Source organism: Homo sapiens, chromosome 17, assembly GCF_000001405.40.
Source record: "Homo sapiens chromosome 17, GRCh38.p14 Primary Assembly".
Taxonomy (NCBI): Eukaryota; Metazoa; Chordata; class Mammalia; order Primates; family Hominidae; genus Homo; species Homo sapiens.
This window is the reverse complement of record NC_000017.11, coordinates 59143451-59170274: the sequence shown is the minus strand read 5'-3', so window position 1 is coordinate 59170274 and position 26824 is coordinate 59143451. Positions and strand designations below refer to the sequence as shown.

Below are 26824 nucleotides of genomic sequence, written 5' to 3'. Positions count from 1 at the left end.
CTGGGCCTTCTTTTTTTTTTCTGAGAGGGAGTCTCGCTCTTGTTGCCCAGGCTTGAGTGCAGTGGTGTGATCTCGGCTCACTGCAACCTCTGCCTCTCTGGTTCAAGCAATTCTCCTGCCTAAGTCTCCCGAGAAGCTGGGATTACAGTTGCCCGCCACCACGCAGGCTAATTTTTGTAGTTTTAGTAGAGACAGGGTTTTGCCACATTGGCCAGGCTGGTCTTGAACTCCTGACCTCAGGTAATCCACCCACCTCGGCCTCCCAAAGTGCTGGGATTACAGGAATGAATGACTGCACCCGGCCTGCCTTCTATTTTTATTTGCTAAATCTGAAACTCTATCTTAAACTGATCAGATCTCTCTAATATTTTTTCTGTTCCACATTAAGCCTTACCTTTCTGGTGAGGGTGGTGGAGGAGGAGGTGTAATTAGCTTGGACTGAAAGTGAGAGGCTTCTTTTTTTTTGAATAATCTTTCGGCTTTGGCTTTTAGCTTTCGTCTTCGTTGTTTGAACTTGGGCATGATTTCTGCAGAGAAATTTTTTTACATTTTTAATTGAAGAATAATATATACATATAGAAAGTACACAAATCTTAAGTGTATAGTTAATGAATTATACCATGAACACACCCTTGAAACCACCATCTTGGTTAAGAAATAGGTCACTACCAGCATCCCAGAAGAGCCCTGAAGTAGGGGAAAATGTAAACACAGATTTAAACTATCTCTGGAGAGATCTTGGTCTTGGCATTATATTACTCTCTCAGTTTGTTTTGCTTGTGTTGCTTTTCTTCATTAAGTTAAATGAATTTTCCTTTCTTTATAGTAGCGAAAATGGCTGTAGGTGGGTTATAGTCAGTTATTAAAATAATATGTTGGCCAGGTGTGGTGGCTCATGCCTGTAATCTCAGCACTTTGGGAGGCCGAGGCGGGTGAATCACCTGAGGTCAGGAGTTCGAGACCAGCCTGACCAACGTGGAGAAACCCCGTCTCTACTAAAAATACAAAATCAGCCAGGCATGGTGGTGCATGTCTGTAATCCCAGCTATTGGGGAGGCTGAGGTAGGAGAATCGCTTGAACTCGGGAGGCGGAGGTTGTGGCGAGCTGAGATTGCACCATTGCACTCCCACCTGGGCAACAAGAGCGAAAACTCCGCCTCAAAAAAAAAAAAAAAAAAAAAGAATATGTTTCTTTACCAGCAGCATCTACTGAGCATCCACTGTGACAGGTGGAATTGGTAGTGAGAAGATAAGGAAACAACATTAACCATTTATTCAATACCCCTTTACTGTTAGGTATCTTCACATACATCTTTTCAGTTAACCCTTACTATCCTGCAAGGTATTATCCCTGACAAGGAGGATTTTTATTCCCGTTTTTACAGAAGAATAAACTGAGGATAAAAAAGATTAGACAATCTGTCAATGCAATGCAGTAAGTCCAAACCTGTAAGTCTTCCATGTTCTTTCTAATACGCTGTGGTGTGACACTAGATTAAATAGGCAATACACTGTAAAATGAAATAACAATTACCCCAAATCTAAGACATGAGTGTTTTAAAACAGTTATGTTATTTTATTTTTTGAGGCACAGTCTAGCTCCGTCACCCAGGCTGCAGTGCAGTGGCATGATCTTGGCTCACTGCAACCTCCACCTCCCAGGTTCAAATGATTCTCCTGCCTCAGCCTCCCAAGTAGCTGGGACCACAGGCACACGCCACCACACTGGTGGCGTAATCCCAAAGTGCTGGGATTACAGGCATGGGCCTTAAAAGAGTTATTTTAAAGCATTTAAAAACATCACCGGCTGGGTGTGGTGGCTCACGTCTGTAATCCCAGCACTTTGGGAGGCCGAGGTGGGCAGATCACTCGAGGCCAGGAGTTTGAGACCAGCCTGGCCAACATGGCAAAACCCTGTCTCTATTAAAAATACAAAAATTAGCTGGGCATGGTGGCACGGTGCCTGTGGTCCCAGCTACTGGGGAGGCTGAGGTGGGAGAATCACTTGAACCCAGGAGGCAGAGGTTGCAGTGAGCCGAGATCACGCCACTGCACTCCAGCCTGGGTGACAAAGCAAGACTCCATCTGATAAATAAATATATAAAATAAAATAAAATAAAATAAAATAAAAACATTACCTAGTAGAACAGAGGATACTAGAGGGATAGTATCTTTCCCAGGATACTGGGAAAGGTGGGGAGGAAGGAGGAATAGGGAAAGATTGGTTAAAGGATACAAAATAGAGACATTTGAACCACAGCAACTCAATCTTGAATAGGAGCTGGGTAAAATGAGGCTAAGACCTACTGTGCTGCATTCCCAGGACGTTAGACATTCTTAGTCACAGGATGAGATAGGAGGTTGGCACAAGATACAGGCCTCAAAGACCCTTCTGATAAAACAGGATGCAGTAAAGAACGTGGCCAAAACCAAGAGAGCAATGAAAGTGGCCTCTGATTGTCCTTACTGCTCATTATACACTAGTTATAATGCATTTGCATGCTAAAAGACACTCCCACCAGCACCAAGACAGTTTACAAATGCCATGGTAATGTCTGGAAGTTACCCTATATAGTCTAAAAAGGGAAGGAACCCTCAGTTCTGGGAAATCCCCACCCTTTCCCCAGAAAACTCATGAATAATCCACCCCTTGTTTAGCATATAATCAAGATATAAGTATACTCAGTTGAGCAGCCCATGCCACTGCTCTGCCTATGGAATAGCCATTTTTTTATTCCTTTACTTTCTTAATAGACATGCTTGCCCTTTATGGACTTGTCCTGAATTTTTGCTTGCACAAGGTACAAGAATCCTCTTTTGGGGTCTGGATTGGGACCCCTTTCCAGTAATATAATTACAGCTAGATAGCAGGAATAAGTTCTAGTGTTCTATGGCACTGTAGGATGACTATAGTTAACAATAATATATTATCTAGTTTCAAATAGCTAGAAGGAGTGCATTGAATTTTACTAACACAAATAAATGACATGTTGAAGATGATGGATATACTAACTACCCTGACCTATTCACTATACATTATATGTATCAAAACATCACTGTGTACCCCACAAATATGTATAATTATTATTGGTCAATTTATTTATTTATTTAGAGACAGAGTCTTGCTCCGTCATCCAAGCTGGAGTGCAGTGGCGCGATCTTGGCTCACTGCAAGCTCCGCCTCCTGGATTCACGCCATTCTCCTGCCTCAGCCTCTCGAGTAGCTGGTACTACAGGTGCCCGCCATCCACGCCTGGCTAATTTTTTGTATTTTTAGTGGGGACGGGGTTTCACCATGTTAGCCAGGATCGTCTCGATCTCCTGACCTCGTGATCTGCCTGCCTCGGCCTCCCAAAGTGCTGGGATTACAGGCATAAGCCACCGCGCCCGGTCCTATAGGTCAATTTTAAAATAATCAAAATAAAATTTAAAAAATAAAAAAATAAAAAGTGGCAATGCCACTTGATACACTAACAGCAAATTAGGATCTGTCTAAATAAAGTGAATTTTTTATACAAATGTCGGGATATAATCAAGAATTATCAAGAGAATAAAAGCTGCTTTGTACTTAAGAATGTAACAAATATTTTTATATAAATATATCTGTTCTTTCTAAGATGCTATACACACTAATATGCTATACACTAACATATATCTATATAAGTATATATCATAATGATCAATTTAACATTAAATATATTACCATTAAATATATGTTAACATTATCTTGGTTGTGACCAAGTGAACATTTTGGAAACTTTTAATAAAAGGGTCCTTCTTGCTGTGGTACAAAATGAAAAAACAAAACAAAAACATTATCTAGTATATTCACATTTCAATCTGGATCCTTTTCTGAAGAAAATTAAGTCACAGCTAGTTTGAGCTGAAGTTCCAGAAGGGCTTTGCTGCTTTTAGTTGTTGCTACTTGAGGAACAAAGATGTTGTTATTCAAGTAGCAGAACTGAAAATGATCTCAAGGCCTGGGCCTCCTTCCCTTCAAACTCAGATTTGAATGGGAACAATTGGCCTTTAAAATACACATTCATTCCACTTTTGTTCACTCAGTAACCTTTCAGCACTTGGTATGCAGCACTATACTTGCTCAGCTCTCAGATTCCACTGGCTGATGAACCCCCACTACCCTGTTGCAGGTTGTAAAAACTGAGCGCTGGCTTGGTTCCATGATTTGCAGAGGGCACCCCTAATGGCAAATAGTGGCAGTGCATATATTGACAGCCCTTCTAGAAATAGATTCCTGATAACATCTAATTGGACTAACTATCAGGTCCCAATTTGACAAGGTGCTTTTCTTAATTGTCCTTACGGGCTTAGAAAACACACCAAAACATAGTTGGCTGACTTCACCTTTATTATATCACTTTTTCTTCCTGCTGAAATAATGAAGGAAGGTGAAGCAGGGATTATTAAACACAAGGGATGTCTAAAGGATTTTTTTGTTTTGTTTGTTTTTGTTTTTTTTTTGAGACAGAGTTTTGCTCTTGTTGCCCAGGCTGGAGTGCAATGGCACGATCTCGGCTCACCGCAACCTCTGCCTCCCAGGTTCAAGCGATTCTCCTGCCTCAGCCTCCTGAGTAGCTGGGATTACAGGCATGCACCACCACGCCCGGCTAATTTTGTATTTTTAGTAGAGACGGGGTTTCTCCATGCTGGTCAGGCTGGTCTGGAACTCCCGACCTCAAGTGATCTGCCTGCCTTGGCCTCCCAAAGTGCTGGGATTACAGGCGTCAGCCACTGCACCCAGCCCTGATTTTTTTTAATTTAAAACAACACAAGCCTGTAGTCCGAGCTATTCAGGAGGCTGAGCTGGGAGGATCACATGAGCCTAGGAGTTTGAGGCTGCAATGAACTATTATTGTGCCACTGCACTCCAGCCTGGGCAACAGAGGGGGACCTTGTTTCCAAAACAAACAAACACATAAACAAACAAAACCAGACCGGACGCGCGGTGGCTCACGCCTGTAATCCCAGCACTTTGGGAGGCCAAGGCGGGCAGATCATGAGGTCAGGAGATCGAGACCATCCTGGCTAACATGGTGAAACCCCGTCTCTACTAAAAATACAAAAAATTAGCCGGGCGCAGTGGTGGGCGCCTGTAGTCCCAGCTACTCGGGAGGCTGAGGCAGGAGAATGGTGTGAACCTGGGAGGCGGAGCTTGCAGTGAGCCGAGACTGAGCCACTGCACTCTAGCGTGGGCGACGGAGCGAGACTCTGTCTCAAAAACAAAACAAAACAAAAAAACAAAACAAAAACGCAAGATAAAAATACTCTGATGAAGATATTTAGGAGAGCCTCCTAGGAAGGAGCGATCTTGTGGCTGCCTGAAGAAAAAAGGTTACATTTCATCAAATCTATGGTCAGGACCTTTTTTTTTTTTTGAGACACGGTCTTGCTCTGTCGTGCAGGCTGGAATGCAGTGGCATGATCTTGGCTCACTGCAGCCTCCTCCTCCCAGGTTGAAGCGATTCTCCTGCCTCCGCTTCCGGAGTAGCTGGGATTACAGGCGCGCGCCACCATGCCCGGCTAATTTTTAAAATTTATTTATTTTTAGTAGAGATGGGGTTTCACCATGTTGGCCAGGCTGGTCTTGAAGTCCTGTACGGCCAGGACCTTCTATAGACAAATGCCACTGGAAACTTCTATCTAAGGCTGAGTCCACTGATTGGGAGCCCTAGAATCCGAAATTTCCTAGCATCTTCCTTTTCTTTGTCTTCCATCTGATCCTTCACAGTCCTCCCCCATTCTTTTTCTGTTGCCCAGGCTGGTCTTAAACTCCTGTGCTCAAGCAGTCCTCCTACCTCAGCCTCCCAAAGTGCTGGGATTACAGAAATGAGCCACTACGCCCGGCCCCATCATAGAATTCTATATTAGGCCAAACTTTCAGTCAGGTGTGAGGAAAGAATTAAGATAAAAGATAAGAATTTTCAGGATAATGGTGATAAAAAAATCTAGGGGAAACAGCTTTGAGCAAGCTTAGGACAGGGGTCAACAAACCTTTTTTGTAAAGAACCAGAAAGTAAATATTTCAGGTTTTGCAGGCCATATGGTCTCTGCTGCAACTGCTCAACCCTGCCAGGGTAGCACCAAGGCAGTCATAGACAATACTCAAGCAAAGGAGCTGTGTCTAATAAAATTTTATTTATGACTGAAATTTGAATTTCATATACTTTTATGTTTTTCTTTTTTTTAAGATGGAGTCTCACTCTGTCGCCCAGGCTGGAGTGCAGTGGCATGATCTCAGCTCACTGCAACCTCCGCCCACCCCCCAAGTTCAAGTGATTCTCCTGCCTCAGCCTCCTGAGTAGTTGGGATTACAGGCGCCTGCCACGGCGCCAGGCTAAGTTTTGTATTTTTAGTAGAGACGGGGTTTCCCCATCTTGGCCAGGCTGGTCTTGAACTCCTGACGTCGAGATCCATCAGCCTTGGCCTCCCAAAGTGCTGGGATTACAGGCATGAGCCACTGCGCCCGGCCAAATTTGATATACTTTTCATGTGTCACAAAATATTGTTCCTCTTTTGATTTTTTTTTAACTGTTAGAAGTTATAAATCATTCTTAGCTCACAAGCTCTATAAAAGCAGTAGTTTGCTGACCTGAGGCTCACAGCCAGTGAAGACTGCCGCAGAAGGACAGGACAGAGGGCTTCAGCAACAATGTCTCTAAGGAAAAACGGAAATAGATAAACTGCCTAGTGTGTTTGACCATTCTGAGCAGAGTTTTACTGTTCTGTAAACTTGTGGCCAAATTGCTGGTAAGTGCTTAAAAAAATAAGCATATAAAAAATAGCTAGGAAAAAAGTTGTATAAGAAAGGAAATGTAATCTTAGTAGCACTAAATGTTAAGCTGTTAAACAATATTTAAAGTATAAGCATTGGCTGGGCATGGTGGCTCATGCCTATAATCCCAGCACTTTGGGAGGCCGGGAGGCAGGAGGATCACCTGAGGTCCCGAGTTTGAGACCAGCCTGGCCAACAGGGCAAAAGCCTGTCTCTACCAAAAATACAAAATTTAGCCAGGCATGTGGCTGTAGTCCCAGCTATCTGGGAGGCTGAGGCAGGAGAATCTCTTGAACCCGGGAGGCAGAGGTTGCAGTGAGCCGAGATTGTGCCACTGCACTCCAGCCTGGGCAATAGAACGAGAGTCCATCTAAAAAAAAAAAGTATAAGCATTGACAATTTATTTAACCAAAAATGATGATGTAGGTATACTAGGAAGAAGGAGAGAAAGTGGGCCAGGTGTGGTGGCTCATGCCTGTAACCCAGCACTTTGAGAGGCTGAGGCAGGCAGATCACCTGAGGTCGGGAGTTCAAGACCAGCCTGACCAACATGGAGAAATGCCATCTCTACTAAAAAAATACAAAAATTAGCCGGGCGTGGTGGTGCATGCCAGTAATCCCAGCTACTTGGAGGCTGAGGCAGAAGAATCGTTTGAACCCAGGAGGTGGAGGTTGCGGTGAGCCGAGATCGTGCCATTGCACTCCAGCCTGGGCAACAAGAGTGAAACTCTGTCTCAAAAAAAAAAAAAAAAAAAGGGAGAGAAAGTGAATGGAAGTCAGTATTTGTCTAAATTTATATAGTGCCTACACTTGAAAAAAAAATCATGAAATAATAGTATGAATGTTACTTAGAAATATGGAGGTAAATACCAGAAGAAATAATTACAAGACTTAATAGTGTTGCCTCTGACAATTGGGAGTCAGGATTACAGAGGGGTGGTTTAAACTGGACTGCTATTTTTTTTTGTTATTTCTTTCTAATTCTAATAAGGCTTGTATTGTATTTGACTTTCAAACTTTGGTATGTACCATTAGCTGGAAAATTTGAGTACCACCATTCTGAAACAGGGCCATTTCTTTCTAGTCCTTTCCTGTTGGCTGTTCCAGTGTCTATGCATACAAATTTCTAGAGTCCTACACAAGCCAATGTCTGTCATTTTGGGAATTATTTTTCAATGATAAAGATGTCTAGGAACTAAGTCATATTTCTTTCTCTCTCTCTCTCTCTCTCTGTGTGTGTGTGTGTGTGTGTGTGTGTGTGTGTGTGTCTGACTTGGGTTATTAGTGCTTCTATCTAATCTCCTTCTAATTAAATACAGTAATTGGCACATGCAGAGGATTAAGGAACCATGCAAAATCTGTCAGGGTAGAAAGATGCAGTCTGAGATAATTCCTAGATAGTTAGTTGTTCCATCCAAAAATAATCACAGCTCTTGCGAAAGTGGAGAATAGCAAATTTCTACCTCAGTCAAAACAAGAACACAAAAAATTAAGGTTTGTTTTAGTATCATTACTTAATTAAAAGCATTAGGTACTTTCCAGAGGATAATTGCCCAAATTGAAAGAGTATATAGCAGTCTTCCTTTAGCTTAAAATACGTATACTTATCCCCTTTCCAAAAGCATAATGAGACCTACAAATTCTTTTTGCTGGATTAGGTGGGATTTTAATTGTTAACACTGAATAGAAGCTCATTCTTTTGTGATTCCTTAAAGCATTTTTCCTTTTGTTTTGAGACAGGTTCTTGCTCTGTTGCCCACGCTGGATTGCAGTGGTGTGATCTCAGCTCTCTGCAGCTTTGACCTCCTGGACTCAAGCAATCCTCCTGCCTCAGCCTCCTGAGTAGTTGGAACTACAAGGGCGTACCACCATGCCCAGCTGGTTTTTTTATTTTTAGTTGAGACAGGGTTTCACCATGTTGCCTAGGTGGTCTCAAACTCCTGAGCTCAAGCAATTTACTGGCCTTGGCCTCCCAGAGTGGTGAAATTACAGGTGTGAGCCACTGTACTCGGCCCTTATGTTTTGTGTGTGTGTTTTTTTTTTTGTTTTATGTTTTTGTTTTTTTTTTTTTGAGACGGAGTCTCGCTCTGTTGCCTGGCCAGGCTGGAGTGCAGTGGCATGATCTCGGTTCACTGCAACCTCTGCCTCCCGAGTTCAAGCGATTCTCCTGCCTCAGTCTCCCGAGTAGCTGGGACTACAGGCACACACTACCACGCCCAGCTAATTTTTGTATTTTTAGTAGAGATGGGGTTTCGCCATGTTGGCCTGGCTGGTCTTGAACTGCTGACCTCAGGTTATCCGCCTCCCTCGGCCTCCCAAAGTACTAGGATTATAGGCATGAGCCACCATGCCTGGCCTATGTATTTTTTAAACTAGTTTTTTTCTTACACTGCTTTCTCAAATAATCTGAAAAATCATTAGAAACATAAACATATAGGCAAAGGGCGGTGGTTCAAAGTGCTGTAATCCCCAGCACTTTGGGAGGCTGAGGTGGAGGTGGGAGGATGCCTTTAGCCCAGGAGTTTGAGACCACTCTGGGCAACACAGTGAGAGTCCCAACTGTATGAAAAAAAGAAAAAAAAAAAATCCTGGCGTGGTGGCTCACCTATAGTCCTAGCCACTCTGAAGGGTGAGGCGGGAGGCTCACGTGAGCACAGGAGCTTGAGGCTGCAGTGACCCATGACTGCGCCACTGTACTCCAGCCTGGAACACAGAGCGAGAAACTGTTTCCAAAAAAAAGAAAAAAACAACATAAATATCCTAAATAACTCTATGATCTCTAGAAATTACTCTCATTTTTACTTACATCTTCTTTTCATTAAGAAAAGATTTCTAGGCTAAGGAACCAGCAAACTGGTACATCTGGAGCTCTTGATAACAAATCAAACAATAATAAAGGTCATATTATAGGCCGTGCATGGTGGCTCACGCCTGTAATTCCAGCACTTTGGGAGGCCAAGGTGGGTGGATGGATCACTTGAGGTCAAGTTCGAGACCAGACTGGCAAACACAGTGAAACCCCATTTCTACTAAAAATATAAAAATTGGAATGAGGTTCAGTCTAAGAAAAAACCCCCAAACCAAAACCGAAACCAACCAACCAAACAAACAAACAACAAGAGGAAGTATACTGTAGGGGTTAAGGATGAGGACCAGGGAGTTATACTGCATAGGTTCAAATCATGGCTCTACTATACTGTCATAACTTATTTATGACCTTCAAGAGATTCTTAGCCTTTCTGTGTCAGTTTCCTCCCCTGTGAAATAATAATATTAATAGGAACTTACTTCAGAGTTTTGAGGAGTACATGAGTAAATCATGTAAAGTATTTACAGTGCCTGGCAGGCAATAAGTTTTATCATTATTATCATTATTATTCTTTGATTCTTTTTTTTTTGCTGCTTGAGATTACTATATCAGATTTTTTAAAATACAAGTTTAATTCAACAACATATAGTGATAACTTGCTATGAAAATGAATAAGACACATTCCTGCCCTCCAAGAGTTTACAGTGGGGAGAGATGGGTAAGCAGAAAGTAAACAGGTATACAATAGTGTATGGGTTATGATGGGATATGTATATGATATTAATGGAGAAATAAAGCAAGGGTACATAATTCTCCCATAAGGGTTGAGGTTTTTGGAAAAGGTTTTGCCTAAGCTGAGCTTTGATGAAGGGGCTAGGTTAAGGTGGGCCTAGGGAGGACTCATCCCATCAGAGGGAATAACATGGAAACATTTCAGAGAAAGGTATGTCAGGGGATTCAGACAAGACTCAGTGTGACTAAAGCATATCCTGCAACGTAAAGTTTTGTCAGGGGGCAATGAGTGATGAAGCTGGAGGGTGGATAAGGACCAAGACATCAGAAACAATAATGGATTTTAAGCAGATAATTGTCATGCTCGTATTTCTTCTTTAGAAAGAATGGTTTGGCAGCATCGTGGAAATTGGATTTATGGGACCATGACTGAAGACAAAGAGACCACTTACAAACCTACTGCAACTGTCTAGGGGATGAGGACCTGATTATAGGAGCGACAGTAGGGTATCTAAATACATCTAACTGCTTATGTTCTATGTTCAAAGTCAGAAGTTCAGGGGAAAGACACTAGAGAAATACTGCACTCATAAGTGTATAGGTAGCTTGAGAAAATAACAACACTAGAAATGAGTGAAATTACCCAGAGAAATATGTGGAGTGAAAAGATCTATGAGCTGATTACCAAACTTTGAGAAACACCATGTATAAGGAGTGGGTAGAGAAAGAACTAGAAAAGGCATGGCCAGGAAGGTGAAAAGAATGCAGAGACAATGGAGCTCCTATTGGAGTAGAGGGTTATAAAAAAAGAGGGTGTGGGAGGCTGGGTGCGGTGGCTCACACCTGTAATCCCAGCACTTTGGGAGACTGAGGTGGGTGGATCACCTGAGGTCAGGAGTTCGAGACCAGCCTGACCAACAGGGTGAAACCCTGTCTCTACTGAAAATAGAAAAATTAGCCAGGTGTGGTGGAGTGTGCTGTAATCCCAGCTACGCGGGAGGCTGAGGCATTAGAATCACTTGAATCTAGGAGGTGGAGGTTGCAGTGAGCCAAGATCACGCCACTGCACTGGGTGCACACCACACCTGGGTGTGGGCCAATGTGAGTATGAATCAGAAATATTTCTCTGATTAATTTACCCTGTCTCTTCTCCTTACCATCCCCCTCCGTTCTGTCCTCTAACTTCAGTTGCCTTCACTTTTTTCATTTTTGTCTTTCACTATTGTCTATTTTCCTTTACTGTTTTTACTTAGAAAAATTTCAAGGCTCCAGGAAATAAAAAATTTACAATAGTATAATAAGCACTCATATACAGTTCACCTAGATTTACCAATTGTCAATTGCCGTCTTTGTACACACACTCTTTCTGTACGTATGTACAAATATATACATACATAAATTTTTTTAGTTTTGGATTGAATAGATTTAGTTGCAGACATCATGATACTTTACTCTTAGATACTTTAGCTTTTGTTTTCTAACATAAACATGGAAATTTTCCAACAAAACCACAATCAGTCAGGAAATTTAACCTTGTTATGAAATGATCTAATAAACAGCCCATATTCGGATTGCCCCAATTGTCTCAATATCCCTTATAGCTTCTCCCACCCTGGTTCCACATGCATTTAGCAGTAGTGTCTCTTTAGTACCCTTTAATTCATAACAATTCTCCAGCTTTTTTATTTATGTATTTGCTTCTTCATATTTATAATTTTGAAGAGTCCAAGTCAGTCGTTTTGGAGAATGTTTCTTAGTTTGGGTTTGCTGAGTGTTCCTTCAATGATTCTCCTGCCTTCAGTCTTTCTCCTTGCCAGTTCATTTTCCATACCAGAACTGATACTTTAAAACAAAATGAGATCTAGATATTCCCTTGCTTAAAAGTATTTGAAGGTTCCTTTACTCACAAAATTAAATTCCTTAGCATGCCTTTCAAAACTTTTCACAACTTAGCTCTAATGGCCCTTTGCCATAGTCTCTTCTAGTGACTAGCGGTTTGTACTTCCAGGTATACTAAACACCAAATACTTTCTGTTTCTTTCTATCAGCCTTTCCTTCTGTTTAGAGTATCCTCTTCCAAGTCAACTTATACCTAGCCTTCAAGATTCTGTTATTTTATCTTATAGATATTAGTTGAGTGCTTATAATCCACCAAGTACTATGCTAGGTGCTGGCATACAATCCTGAACAACACCAACATAGTCTTTGTCCTTCTAGAATTTTTTTTTTTTTGGGGGGGTGGACAGAGTCTCGCTCTGTCACCCGGGCTGGAGTGCAGTGGTGTGATCTCAGCTCAATGCCACCTCCACCTCCTGGGTTCAAGCGATTATCCTGCTTCAGCCTCTTGAGCACCTGGGATTATAGGGGCGTGCCACCACACCCGGATAATTTTTGTATTTTTAGTAGAGATGGGATTTTGCCATGTTGGCCAGGCTGGTCTTGAACTCCTTACCTCAAGTGATCCGCCCGCTTCATCCTCCCAGAGTGCTGGGATTACAGGTGTGAGGCACCATGCCCAGCCTCCTTACAGAATTTATACTGGCTGAAATGTCATCTCTTTTGCACTTCTATAGCACTTTATACACATCTTTATTATAAAATGTATTACATTTCATTGTAATTTTTGCTTGTATGTTTGTCATCCTGCTGGACTGTGAGCTTTTCAAGGGTGTGACAAATTTCATTCATCTTTGTTTTCCCAGCATCTAGAATACAGCAGGAGCTAAATAATGTTTCATTCAATAAAGAATGAAAAGAAGCATTCCTGCTAAGTGTTAGCTAGCAAGTGTTATTTTAGTTAAGGAATATATTCTAATATTGTCAAATTCTCTTGGTTAGGGAGGTTTTTACTTCTTCATATCATACCACATCTTCATATGGCTAAAAGATGGGTCTAAAGCTATTTTCCAATAGGAAGATGCAATAAATAATACAGTAAGAATTACAGTCTTTTGCAGGAGTTGGCGCTGCTGCTTCTGTGAAAACTCCACCCAATGATATGAAAAGTTCTTTGCGGCCGAGCGTGGTGGCTCACGCCTGTAATCCCAGCACTTTGGGAGGCTGAGGCTGGTGGATCACGAGGTCAGGAAATCGAGACCATCCTGGCCAAGAGGGTGAAACCCCGTCTCTACTAAAAATACAAAAATTAGCCGGGCGTGCTGGCGTGCGCCTGTACTCCCAGCTACTCAGGAGGCTGAGGTTGTAGTGGGCCGAGATTGTGCCACTGTACTCCAGCCTAGGCGACAGAGCGAGACTCCGTCACAAAAAAAGAAAAAAAAAAAAAAGAAAGAAAGAGAAGAAAAGTTCTTTGTTCTGGGGTACTTTCAAAGCTGTAGCAGCAACGGAAATGACTGTTGCATTTCATTGCCATCTTCCTAAAACACATTTTTATGGAAGTCTCTTGCGCTCCTCCACAAATAGCCTTCAATTACTTAATTTCCATTAGCAGTCCAATTGATTCTTCTTGAACACCCATAGCACTATTTCTGGGTACTTGCTTTTTTTAAATTTTATGTTTTATGCTTTTTTTTTTTTAAGCATTGCTGTTTTTGTTCTGTCTTGTTTTTCCAAAGAGACTGCAGCTCCCTAAAGTCTCATCCCGCACAGTATTAGGCACTCAGTAAACAGGACACGCATTTAAAATTGACACTCTAACAGCATGCCAGACAATATCGAGTAACATAGTAATATTCCCAGTCAAGAAATGTACCAACTTAAACTTTAATGTGCATAGAAATCACTCAGGGAAATCTTGTTAAAATGTATATTCTGATTTAGTAAATTTGGGTGGAGTCCGATAATTTGCATTTGTAACAAGCAAACAAGAGATGCGGATGCCGCTGATCTGTGGACTTGCATTGAGCAGCAAATATGTAAAGAAATGTTCAAAAGGAAGGCAGATGCTTTGCTCCAAAACGTATCTTGCGAAGTGTTAATTAAATAGAAGTATGGTTAAGATGAAGCCAGGCCGAGCACTTCTTCCCCAGCCCCAAACCTCCCCTTCCTCCTTTCCATTTCCCCTTCGTGTCCAGCCAAAGTCCCCACCTCCCTAAACCATAAAAACACAAGCAGCAACAGGCCCAGCTACTCAAGACGCGAGCTCAGATAACAAAGAAATAATCGTTCCTGCACTTACTAGTCTAAGAGCCGGGGGAGTCGATGGAGTCCGGGCTGTGGCCTCTCCCACGCCATAAAGAAAAATTCAAAATTAAATCCTTGTCAGGGAGAGGCCAATCGTAGACACGGTCTCTGCACGATTCGCTCTTCGGATGGTGTAGGAGCACAGCCCGGCTTGTGATTGGCTGAGATAGCACAGAGCTCCAGCCAATCAGAGCTGAGGCGCTTCTGGTATGAATAAGGAGAAGGCGGGAGAGAAGGGGAAGGAAAGCCGGAGGGGAAAGAAGGTGTGTTACGTCCCCTCTGCTGTCGGTGGAAGCTCTGGTGTGATTGGTTGGCTCTTCTTCCAATTGCACCAATCTCAAGCTCTTCTCTGCAGAGCCCTAACTACAAAATTGAAAGTAGAGAGGAGGGGGCAGCCAATGGAAAAAAAAATTTGCACAGCAGCCAATCCTCCTGCGGCGTTTTGTGCCTTTGCCCAACAGGAAAATGTGTCTCATGCAGAGGGGCGTTACCCAGTCTCCAATGGGCGGGAGCCGGTGGAACGGAGGAGCCAATGAGTGCGAGATGTTGAGTGACAGCTGTCCAATGGAGGCCCTCCGTGCTAGTACGGCTTGCGGCTTAAGCGCCGCCGCGGTCTGCGGAATGTCAACTATTCAACATGGAGGCGGAGGTCGATAAGCTGGAACTGATGGTGAGTGCAAAGTGAAGGAGATCTACTGGGTAGTTTATTTTTCCCCCATGGCCTCGGAGGTGGGGCACAATTTGGAGTCGCCGGAAACTCCGGGCGGCGGAGGCTGGACCAGAGTCGAGTTCCCTCCTCCTGCACCAAAGGGAGCCGCCACCGTCTGGTGTCTAAACCGCCTCGGGTAAGGGGTTACATCCGGGAAACTCGTCAGGGAAATGGCGGGAGATGCTGAGGGTGCGGGGCCTTTGGAATTCCTTGTTCCTTGCCCTCACCTTTACACCCCTTACGAAACTGCGCCGGGTGCAGACCGCATTCTGTGTTTGTACCAAAAAAGATGTGAATGGAACGGTCCCTAAGCGTCCCAAGAAGGGAGAGGTGGTTCACACTCCAAGAAAGGGGAACGGAGGGTGGGGTGGGGAATAAACTGACGGGGGCGAGGAGAAATCCCTGTAGGGCCAACCCGCTCACGTTCTAAAAGGCGGGCCGAGAAAGTCTGAGAAAGGATGCTAGACTTGTATGCACAACTTCCTAACGGCCAAGGAACCCGTTTCTGTTTGATCCGGAGGTGGCAAACCGTGGGTGAGGGAAGAGGTGTGAGCGAAGGGGATCGTAACCACGAGCTCCGCTCCCGGAGCGCGGGCGGGATTGAGACAGGAAAGGCATCCTGCTCTGGAGTTGTGCACTTTCATTCATCTGTGAAAGTAGAAAACGGGGGCGAAGAATTGGAAAGCACTCCCGTTGTTGCTGGCGTGTTTGGCCTGCTCGGGGGGCGCCCAGCTGGGGGGCTGTCCTAGTTTTCTTTAAGGATCCGTCCCTCACTTGTTCTCTTTATTCCCTCCCTCCCATCCTTAGATTACCAGCTTGATCGCCCGCGCTTTTTTCCTCTTAGTGTCCTTGTTCTGTCTTCAGCCCTTTTCGTTCAGCATTATCTTTTTTTTCTTTTCTTTTCTTTTTTTTTTTTTTTCCCAGGTTGGGCTGCTTTCCTTAAAAACCTGGACTTTGGAGGAAGCGCCTGCCACTGAGCTCCTGTCTTTTTTTGTTTGTTTGCTTGTCTGTTAAATACGATTGGCCGGGCGCGGTGGCTCACGCCTGTAATCCCGGCACTTTGGGAGGCCGAGGCGGGCGGATCAAGAGGTCAAGACATTGAGACTACCCTGGCCAACATGGTGAAACTCCGTCTATACTAAAAATAAAAAAATTAGCCGGGTGTGATGGCACGCGCCTGTAGTCCCAGCTACTCGGGAGGCTGAGGCAGGAGGATCGCTTCAACCTGGGAGACGGAGGTTGCAGTGAGCCGAGATCGCGTCACTGTACTCCGGCCTTGCGACAGAGACAACGTCTCAAAAAAAAAAAAGATTAAGTTTTAAAAAAGTAAAAGACTTCTTTCTTCGTTTGTAATCCGTCCCTCCTTCCCACGCCATTCCCTGGCATTACTGCTTAGGTATCCTTTGTGCCTGCCCTGCTTTCTTCAAGCTGAATCTTGGGTCTCTAACTTCTTCCTTGGAAAGGATGGGTGGTGATCCTGGAAGAAACCTCACCCACCCCCCATTCCCACCCCAGAAAAAGTGAGGCCTTGATATATCTTATTTTCTTCTGTTGTGCTAATGAATTGGAGTGCCTCTCATATACAAATTTAATTTGAAGGCTTTCAATTACTTTTAGCATTTTGTGTTTAAATTTTCTTTGTGCAGTGTGTGTGGGGTTGGAGAAGTGTAGGGAGAAATGGGAGGGAAGAAGGAAGAATTTCCTGCAGATTTTCAAACCTGTAATAATGAACTTTTAGTTTTAAGTTTTATTATCATTTAAAAAAAACAAAATGTTAAGCATTGTAATTTGATTCTGTCAACAGGCTTAAATGTTAAGACTATCTTGCCCTTCTCCCATTCTGAATTCCTCCCTACTGATATAGATATTTCTGCTTAAATTCATAATTCATTTCTGCTAAATGATGCTAATTCTGCTTTTAACAGGTTGTTTGCTTCTCAAATTGGCTGTTTCTAATTTTTAAACTTCGTCTGGCTTTTACAGTAGAGTCAGTATTCTCACAGGACTTCTTTAGATTGAACAAATTCTCTTTTAAGTGAACAATGATGAAGTAAACATTTTGAAAAAGTAGGTTTTAGAAAATTATAAGGTAGCCAGACATTTAAACTTTTAGGTATTGTTTGAATGATGGGGTAGTATTTAAATTCTTTTTGAAGACAGGAAAAAAAGAAATGAGGTTTTTTTCCTTTCTTACATCCTTGCAAGTAAATTAGTGGTAGCTTTTTTTTTTTTCCTTTCAGGTTATTAGTTTGTTTCCATAATTATTAGGGTTTAGAAATGAATTTTTATCATGGCTCTAATTATTACTGCTTTGTGTTGACTAGATAATAAAAGACAGTGCATCTCATCTTCAGATTTACCATGTGCTTCTAGAAAAAAATGTTATACTTGTGGACCAGTTTATTTTATAAGATTTTAAGAGTAAATGATTCCTGTGCTATCTTCTGATTTTTGGTTTTACATCAGTTAAATAAAGGATTTGTCAAGGTAAAAGGAAATGCATAATATTTAATTTGAAAAGAAAGTGTTTATCCTAATTTTGTTAATACCTTAAATTTTTTAAATATTTTTCTTGTTTGTAATAACTTCCAATTCAGAAAGTTAAACACTTATCTTTTAAACAGTTGTCTTTAAAACCTGAAACTTGGCTACCAGCGTTAAATATTCTAATATTTTAGTTATGTGGCCCAGGATTTGACACCAAGACACTTATATTTCAGCTGTCCTTTGTATGAGCCCATTTCCTTAGTAGGCTCAATCCGACTAAGTAGTTGAATTGGACCGTTTAAAGGGAGGTTGGTGAAAATAATGAAAATATATTTTTGCATCAATCAACATTACTAATGGGGGAATAAGCTTATTGTAGGGCAATCTTTGTTCTCTGACTTTTTCCCCTTCACTTAATGATGGGGTGGTATTTGTTTAGCTTTGTTCTTTCGTGGTACTACTAGTGACTGTACACAAAAGGTAATGCAGTGTGATACTATGATACTATTTCTGTTTCTGGGTTTACATCTGACTTCTGATTGGGTTCTTATCCGTTAAAAAAGTTAAAATGTCAATTAGCTTGGAACTAAGGAAACTTGTTACTTAAATCTCAGTCCCACCTCCCCCCATCATTATTTTCTCTTTGACATTTCTAAGTTTGAAGGAAATGGAGATGCTTTCTGCCTCTATTTAAGATTTCAGGAGTTAACTGAAATTTTAAAATCCCCTTGGATAGTATTCAGTTAGATAGGGTTAATGTTCTGTTTAGAGCACATTGATTCCCTTCTGTTGTTATGACAGCCCTTAGTAAACTCAAGATAAAAAGCTGTAAGATGGTAAGTGCTTTTGTGTTTTCTTTGTTTAGTGGTTTAGATTCCAGAGTGATAGATTGAGTATGTAGAGATTGAGAAACTTATTATTTTACTTTTCATTTGTTTTCTTTGATACTTTTATTCAAAGGGCTTGTTTTACATGGCGTTTAATCAGTAAATTGCCTTGAAGAAGGAGCTAACCAACATCTCTGCAGAGAACAAAAATATTTTTCACAACTTTGCCTTAGTAGTAATTATAACTGGTTTTGTTAATACCAATCCTAAAGTATTAACAATACCCATTCTAATTACTATTAAGGCTTAGGGCATATTTACAAAATTCCTTTCTACATCTATGCATGTTTCTGTTCGAATGTTAATTTGTATATTAGTCATCAATAAGCAACATCACTTTGATATTTAAGTCTTATCCTTTTTTAAAAAAACATTGATATAAATGTTTTTTGGTTTTGGATGTTTTTCTGTCCAAAATGGCAACCCTACTTTAAATTCGTTTCTCACTGAAGCTTCAACCGATGCAAGATGCTTTTGTGTTCCTTTCCTACTTATTACTGCTAACGAATGCTCTGACTTTATTGCACTACTGTACTTTACAGCTAGCAGTGCAATAGTATTGTCAAAGCATCTGAAAGCAGGATGCACGCCAGAATTTTGATTCTTACCTTACATCTTTCTTCGGTATCAGTAAATAATTTACCACAACCTTTGTTGCTGAGAACTATAATGTTGTTACTAACAGTATATCTTTTAGAAAGTCATAATTTGAAAAAAAAAAACCTTTTAACTAATTAAAAACAATATTTTACTGCATTATGAAACACGTCTGGAGAATATTTTTTATATCTAAGTTGTTATGGTTTGTCTAAATGAGTAATACTTTATAATTTGTTGCTTTCTGTTACATATTTGGATAGGTTCTGTCAAACTTTAGGTTTTATTTGAGTTTTATGATGAATTGGTAGTGATGGAAACAATTTCTGCTGTATATTTTTCCTGCAGTTACTTGCCCCAAGTCATTTTTTTTTCTCCAGAGACAGAGTCTTTCTCTGTTGCCCAGGCTGGAGTGCAGTGGCCCAGTTACACCTCACTGCAGCCTTGTACTCCCGGGCTTAGATAATCCTCCCTCCTCAGCCTCCTAAGTAGCTGGGACCACAGGCGTGTCCTACCATGCCTGGCTAATATTTTCTTGAAATTTTTTGTGGAGACAGGGTCTCACTGTGTTGCCGAGGTTGGTCTTGAACTCCTGGGCTCAAACAGTCCTCTTGCCTTGGCCTCCCAGAGTGCTGGGATTATAGGTGTGAGCCACTGTGCCTAGTCCTCCAAATCTTAATTGGTGTTAATTTTGTGTATTGTCTAGGAAATGGTTGAATTTAAAACCTAAGAGTGTTTGTTTTACAGTTTATTCTTATGAGATACAATAGTGTGGATTCATCACTTTTAAAAAATATGAATTTTATTGAGATACAATTATATAAAATAAAAGTAAGTAAGCTATTTGTTAAGCAAAGCCGAAGTCTTGCTGTGTTGCCCAGCTGGAGGGCAGCGACTATTCACAGAGGCAATCATAATGCAGCACAGCCTAGAACTCCTGGCTTCAAGCAATCCTCCCACTTCAGCCTCCTGAGTAGCTTGGACTACAGGGGTGTGGCATGCCCAGTGAACTGACGAGTTTTGACAAATGTATACAGTCATGTAACCACCACCACAGCCAGGATATAGAACATTTCTGTTACTTTACAAAAAGCTCCTTTGTGGCCAGGCATGGTGGTGCACCTGTAGACCTAGCTACTCGGGTGGCTGAGGTGGGAAGATCACTCGAGCCCAGTAGTTCCAGACCAGGCTGAGCAACAGAGTGAGACCCCTACATTCCTTTGTGCCTCTTTGTGGTCAACCTCTTCTTCCCCAAGTCCCTGGCAACCACTGATCTCTAGTTTAACTTTTCCTAGAATTTCATATAAATGGAATCATACATTATACAGTCTTTTGTGTCTGGCTTCTTGCACTTAGCATAATGCTTTGAGATTCATCCATGTTGTATATTAGCAGTTGGACAGTTTTTATTGCTGAGTAGTATTCATTGTATAGAATATCACAAACTCTTTATCCACCAACTTATAGACATCGGGTCATTTCCACGTTTTGCATATTATGAATAAAATGGCTGTGGTTGGTCTCGAATTCTTGAGCTCAAGTGATCCTCCTGTGTTGCCCTCCCAAATGTCTTTGTTTAATTTTTTTTTTAGCAATATTTTTTTCTTTTTCTTTAGAGACAGGGTCTCATACTGTCACCCAGGCTGGAGTGCGGTGGTGTGATCATAGCTTACTGTACCATCAAACTCCTAGGCTCAAGCAATCCCACCTCAGCTTGCTGAGTAGCTGGAACTACAGGTGTGCATCACCATACCTGGCTAGTTGAAAAATTTTTTTGTAGAGATGAAGTCTCACTATGTTGCCAGGCTGGTTCTCTAACTCCTGGGCTCAAATGATCTTCCCACTTCAGTCTCCCAAAGTGCTGGGGTTCTGGGAGTGAGTCGCCATGAGTATGTCTTTGTGTGGACGTAATGTTTTCATTTCTTTTGAGTAAATACTGAAATGGGATTTCTGGTAGCCTGATAAATGTATCCTTGGGGGAAAAAAAGTATGCTTGATCTTATAAGCAACTGCTAAAATATTTTTCAAAGTGGCTGTACTATTTTGCATTCCCAAAGCTATTGATAAGGGTTCTAGTTTTTCCATAACCTTATCAACACTTGGTATTAGGTTGATGCAAAAATATCAGTTTTAATTTTAACCCTTCTAACAGTTATGTGGTGGTGCCCCATTGTAGTTTCAATTTGCACTTCCTTAACTAATGATGTTAAACCTTTTTTCATATGCTTATTTGTAGTTTGTATATCTTCTTTAGTGAAATGTCTCACAATCTTTTGCCTATTTTCTTTTCTTTTTTTTTTTTTTTTTTTTTTGAGACAGGGTCTTGTTCTATTACCCAGGTTGCAGTACAGTGGCGGTCACAGCTCACTGCAGCCTTGACCTCCCAAGATTCAGATGATACTCCCCCACCTCAGCCTCCCAAGTAGCTGAGACCACAGGCACGTGCCACCACTCCTAGCTAATTAAAAAAATTTTTTTTGTACTAGTCTGGGCAACATGGCAAAACCCCCTCATCTCTACAGAAAAATTGAAAAATTGGCTGGGTGTGGTGGCGCAAGACTGTAGTCCCACATACTTGAGAGGCTGAGATGGGAGGATCACCTGAGCCTGGGGAGGTCGAGGCTGCAGTGAGCCATGATTGTGCCACTGCACTCCGGCCTATTGACAGTGACATCCTATCTCAAAAAAATTTTTTTATTTTTATTTTTTTAGAGATGGGGTCTTGTTATGTTGCCCAGGCTGGTCTCAAACTTCTGGGCTCAAGCCGTCCTCCTGCCTCAGCCTTCCAAAGTACTGGAACTACAGGAGTGAACCACTGTGCCGGATAGAGAATTGTTATGTTAGCAATATCGAGCCCTCTGGTGCACAAACATATCTTTTCATTTATTAGGTCTCTAAAATTTTCTCTCGACAGTTTTGCAATTTTCAGTGTGTAGGTCTGCTTATAATTTTTTAAAATTAAAAACTTTTTTTCTTTTTTTGGCTGGGCATGGTGGCTTATGCCTGTAATCCTAGCACTTTGGGAGGCCGAAGCGGGCAGATTACCTGAGGGAGTTCAAGACCAGCCTGGCCAACATGGTGAAACCCTGTCTCTACTAAAAATACAAAAAATTAGCCTAGTGCAGTGGTGTGCCCCTGTAATCCCAGCTACTTGGGAGGCTAAGGCAGGAGAATTGCTTGAACCTGGGAGGCAGAAGTTGCAGTGAGCCAAGATCTCATCACTGCACTCCTGCCTGGGCAACAGAGTGAGACTTTGTCTCAAATAAAAAAAAAATTTTTTTTTTTTTTTTTGCTTAAAACAATATTTAATAGTCTGTTTAGTGTGATTTCTACTAGTGCTCTTAAAAATAGAGCAAAGGCCAGGCACGGTGGCTCACACCTGTAATCCCAACACTTTGGGAGGCTGAGGCAGGAGGATCACTTGAGCCCAGTAGTTCGAGACCAGCCTGGGCAACATAGCCAGACTCCATCTCTAATAAAATTAAAAAAAAAAAAGTAGATCAAGAACAGTTACAACATGGGTTCTAAACGCATTGAATTTCAGAAGAAAGTAAGCTATTTGTTAAGCAAAAGTCCTTTAAAAATAGTTGGGAAAATACAGATACCAGAGGGAAGAAAGATACCTAAAATGTTAGGCATGAACTCAAGGACATCATTTGTAGAGAATGAAGGACATAAATCCTCATCATAAAGCCATTTTATTCCAAATGTGTGTGTGTGTGTGTGTGTGTGTGTGTGTGTGTCTTATATATAAAATTTCTTTCTTAGTTACCAGCCCTGGCCTTAAGCGCAGCTGCTTTCCTCTTTGGCTTTTAATTACAATTTCTTACTGTTCTCTAGTGGGCTGTTAGAATAGTGGGTAGGATTTTGATTTTGTTTTTGTTTTTGTTTTTGTTTTTTTAATAACCTAGAGGAGGGGCCAAGGGGTTCATTTGAGGACATTGTTTCTTTTTTTATTTTCTGAGATGGCGTTTTGCTCTTGTTGTCCAGGCTGGAGTGCAATGCTGTGATCTCGGCTCACTGCAATCTCTGTCTCGCAGGTTCAAGCGATTCTTCTGCCTCAGCCTCCCTAGTAGCTGGGGTTACAGGCATGTGCCACCACGCCCGTCCCCCCCAAAAAAAAAGAAAAGAAAAAAAGACCATCCCAGATTGGCTAGGTGCAGTGGCTCACGCCTATAATCCCAGCGCTCTGGGAGGCCGAGACAGAGGATTGCTTGAGCTCAGGAGTTTGAGACCAGCCTGGGCAACATAGCAAGACCTCGTCTCTACTAAAAATAAAAGTAAAAACATTAGCTCGGTGTGGTGACAGGTGCCTGTAGTCCCAGCTACGTAGGAGGCTGTGGCAGGAGGATCATTTGAGCCCAGAAGATCAAGACTGCAATGAGCTATGATTGTGCTGCCACTGCACTCCATCCTGGGTTACAGAACAAGACCCTGTCTCAAAAACAAAAATGAAGAAAGAAAGAATATCCCAGATAAATAAAATAGCTATTCTTAATTAGATTTTATAAGCTCGTACTTCTAATTTATCTCAATATATAACATTTTAAAAGTTAGAATCAGTCCTTGATTCTTTGAGTTCAATATTTTTATTCTCATTTTATTATTTATTTATTTATTTTGAGACAGAGTCTCACTCTGTCACCCAGGTTGGAGTGTAGTGGCACCATCTTGGCTCACTGCAACCTCCGCCTCCTGGGTTCAAGCTATTTGCCTGCGTCACCCTCCCGAGTAGCTGGGATTACAGGCGTGCATCGCCATGCCCAGCTAATTTTTGTATTTTTAGTAGTGACGGGGTTTCACCACATTGGCCGGGCTGGTCTCAAACTCCTAGCCTCATGTGATCCTCCCACCTTGGCCTCTCAAAAGTGCTGGGATTACAGGCATGAGCCACCGAGCCTGGTGTAGTCTCATTTTATCAATAAGGAAATAATCTTAGCCAATTTTTGCTAAGGTTTCATCTAGTGATTTAGTGACTGCAAAATAAATATAACTTTTTAAGACATTTTTGTTAGTAAATGTAAGAGCTGTAGTTTTACAAATCCTTTCTCTCCCCACTTAATTTGCCTAATTGTAGATAAAAGTGCTTCCTACTTTGTTTCATTATGTGTTTCCTTTTGTTTTTTTTTTTGAGATAGGGTCTCACTCTGTCACCCAGGCTGGTGTGCAGTGGCTCAATCACAGCTTACTGCAACCTTGACCTCTCGGGCCCAAGTGATCCTCCCACCTCAGCCTTACGAGTAGCTGACACCACAGGTGTTGCACCATGATGCCTGGCTAGTTTAAAAAACTTTTTTAGAGGCGTGGTTTCCCTTTGTTGCCCAAACTGGTCTCCAACTCCTGGACTCAAATGATCCTCCTACCTCAGCCTCCCAAATTGTTGGGATTACAGGCTTGAGCTACCATGCCTGGCCTTATTAAGTGTTTCTAGATCGGGCTAGTAACAGAGGCTAAAGATATTAAGAAACTTATCTGGGAGACACAGATAAATATGTTGACTAATGTATCTGTGATTAAGTACACATATAAATTAAATACAGATGACATGATGGGAAAAATAGATACTAGATATTATGGGGGCACATTGGAAAGAGGAAACTAACCTGGGAAAGATTTCTTCTTAGAGGTGAGATATAATCTGAGACTTGAAAGATGAGTAGGGATTAGCCAACTGAAGGAGAGGGCAAATATTCCAGGCAGAGGAAATAGTACATGTGAACGTCCAGAGATGAGTGTTTATTGTACAACTGGGGGAAACTGCAAGGGTTGCAGTATACTGTTGAGAGGGAGAGCTAGGAGTATTGAGAAAGTAAGATCAATATTCTAGCTATTAAGTTTTCTTACCATACTGTTTATTACGTTTGTGAACTTTTTTCCCTATTTTTTTATTGTGTTAAAATACATGTAACATAATGTTTATGATCTTAACAATTTTAAGTGGTATTAAATACATTCATAATGTTGTGCAACCATCACCATCATCCATCTCCATAACCTTTTCATTTTGTAAAACTGAAACTCTCAACTGGGCATGGTGGCTCACACCTGTAATCCCAGCACTTTGGGAGGCCAAGGTGGGTGGATCATCTGCGGTCAGGAGTTCCAGACCAGCCTGGGCAACATGGTGAAACCCCGTCTCTACTAAAAATACAAAAAATTAGCTGGGTGTGGTGGTGTGTGCCTGTAATCCCAACTACTCGGGAGACTGAGGCAGGAGAATTGCTTGAACCCGGGAGGTGGAGGATGCAGCGTCGCCCTCTAACCTGGGAACCTGGGCGACAGAGTGAGACTCCATCTCAAAACATAAAAAAGAAACTCTATACCCATTATACAATTACTCCTCTTTTCCCCTCCCCCCAGCGTCTAGCAACTACCATTCTACTATCTGTCTCTATGATTTAGACTACTCTAAATACCTCATTTAAATGAAATCATACAGTATTTGTCTTTTTATTATTGGCTTATTTCATTCAGCAAAATGTTCTCAAGATTCATCCATTTTTTTGTGGCAGCATATTGCAGATTTCCTTCAATTTTTTAAGGCGGAATAAGATTCCATTGTACGTATGTACTACATTTTACTTATCCATTCATCCCTCCATGGACACTCGTGTTGCTTCCTTGTTTTAGCTATTGTGAATAATGCTGCTATGAAAATGGGTATACACATATCTCTTTAAGACCCTGTTTTTAGTTGTTTTAGGTGTATACCCAGAAGTGGAATTGGTGGATAATATGGTAATTCTATTTTTAGTTTTTTGAGAAGCCACCATACTGTTTTCCACAACTGCTATACCATTTTACATTTCCACCAACAGTGGACAAGGGTTCCAGTTTCTCCACATCCTCTCCAACACTTGTCTTTTTTTTTTTTTTTATGGTGACTATCCTAATGACTATGAGTAGGTTCCTAAACACTTTTTTTCCTTGAGATGGAGCCTCGCTCTGTCATCAGGCTGGAGTGCAGTGGCGCGATCTCGGCTTACTGCAACCTCGGCCTCTGGGGGCGTGATCTCGGCTTATTGCAACCTCGGCCTCTGGGGTTCAAGCGATTCTCCTGACTCAGCCTCCCGAGTAGCTGGGACTACAGGCGCATGACGCCACGCCTCGCTAATTTTTGTATTTTTAGTAGAGACAGGGTTTCACCATGTTGGCCGGGATGGTCTCAATCTCTTGACATCATGATCCGCCCGCTTCGGCCTCCCAAAGTGCTGGGATTACAGGCATGAGCCACTGCGCCCACACTCCTAAACATTTTTAATCATTTTAAATTCATATTCTATAGTAATCATGAACCTATATTCCTTAATTTAAAACATCTACATGTAAACATCCAGTTAAAGTTTTGGGGCCAGGCGTGGTGGCTCACGCCTATAATCGCAGCATTTGGGAGGCCGTGGCGAGAGGATCACCTGAGGTCAGGAGTTCGAGAAAAATACAAAAATTATGCCAGGAGCAGTGGCTCACGCCTGTATTCCCAGCACTTTTGGAGGCTGAGGTGGGCAGATCACCTGAGGTCAGGAGCTTGAGACCAGCCTGGCCAACATGGTGAAACCCTGTCTCTATTTAAAATACAAAAAAATTAGCTGGGCACGTTTGTAATCCCAGCTACTCGAGAGGCTGAGGCAGAAGAATCGCTTGAACCCCAGAAGCGGAGGTTGCAGTGAACT

At 41.9% G+C, this 26824-nt stretch overlaps 2 protein-coding genes and 1 non-coding gene across 7 annotated transcripts in view, besides 5 other annotated features; 2 read left to right on the top strand and 1 right to left on the bottom strand.

Annotated features, from left to right (window-relative positions):
• The window catches only part of PRR11 (proline rich 11), a 50964-nt gene extending 36435 nt beyond the window's left edge, over window positions 1–14529 (bottom strand). The window contains exons 1-3 of one of the 3 annotated variants that reach the window (XM_024450828.2): window positions 14470–14529; window positions 6611–6676; window positions 395–527 (exon numbers count right to left, since the gene is read on the bottom strand). In XM_024450828.2, the coding sequence (XP_024306596.1) occupies window positions 395–522 (128 nt within the window). In that variant the 5' untranslated portion in view covers window positions 523–527; window positions 6611–6676; window positions 14470–14529. Of the gene's footprint in view, window positions 1–394; window positions 528–6610; window positions 6677–9398; window positions 9512–14469 lie in introns of those variants that run through there. The other 2 variants (XM_047436387.1, NM_018304.4) reach the window with 2 other exon arrangements.
• Window positions 3882–4181: an enhancer, noted in NCBI's record as "active region_12503". NCBI's record gives its function as "activates an Ori minimal core promoter by ATAC-STARR-seq in GM12878 lymphoblastoid cells {active_cell/tissue: GM12878}" and the evidence as "EXISTENCE:reporter gene assay evidence [ECO:0000049][PMID:35858748]".
• Window positions 10844–12043: an enhancer, noted in NCBI's record as "CDK7 strongly-dependent group 2 enhancer chr17:57235593-57236792 (GRCh37/hg19 assembly coordinates)". NCBI's record gives its function as "activates an origin of replication core promoter dependent on BRD2, BRD4, P300/CBP, MED14 and CDK7 cofactors, with strong dependence on CDK7, by STARR-seq in HCT116 cells {active_cell/tissue: HCT116}" and the evidence as "EXISTENCE:reporter gene assay evidence [ECO:0000049][PMID:35650434]".
• Window positions 14352–14401: an enhancer, noted in NCBI's record as "active region_12502". NCBI's record gives its function as "activates an Ori minimal core promoter by ATAC-STARR-seq in GM12878 lymphoblastoid cells {active_cell/tissue: GM12878}" and the evidence as "EXISTENCE:reporter gene assay evidence [ECO:0000049][PMID:35858748]".
• Window positions 15062–15301: an enhancer, noted in NCBI's record as "active region_12501". NCBI's record gives its function as "activates an Ori minimal core promoter by ATAC-STARR-seq in GM12878 lymphoblastoid cells {active_cell/tissue: GM12878}" and the evidence as "EXISTENCE:reporter gene assay evidence [ECO:0000049][PMID:35858748]".
• The window catches only part of SKA2 (spindle and kinetochore associated complex subunit 2), a 45330-nt gene continuing 33594 nt past the window's right edge, over window positions 15089–26824 (top strand). For 2 of the 3 annotated variants that reach the window (NM_182620.4, NM_001330399.2), the window contains exon 1: window positions 15089–15144. In NM_182620.4, the coding sequence (NP_872426.1) occupies window positions 15112–15144 (33 nt within the window). In that variant the 5' untranslated portion in view covers window positions 15089–15111. Of the gene's footprint in view, window positions 15320–26824 lie in introns of all 3 variants that reach the window. The other variant, NM_001100595.2, reaches the window with a different exon arrangement.
• On the top strand, window positions 19054–19139 carry MIR301A (microRNA 301a). Its single transcript, NR_029842.1, has one exon. It is a non-coding gene; the product is annotated as a microRNA 301a (primary transcript).
• Window positions 20096–20175: a silencer, noted in NCBI's record as "silent region_8777". NCBI's record gives its function as "represses an Ori minimal core promoter by ATAC-STARR-seq in GM12878 lymphoblastoid cells {active_cell/tissue: GM12878}" and the evidence as "EXISTENCE:reporter gene assay evidence [ECO:0000049][PMID:35858748]".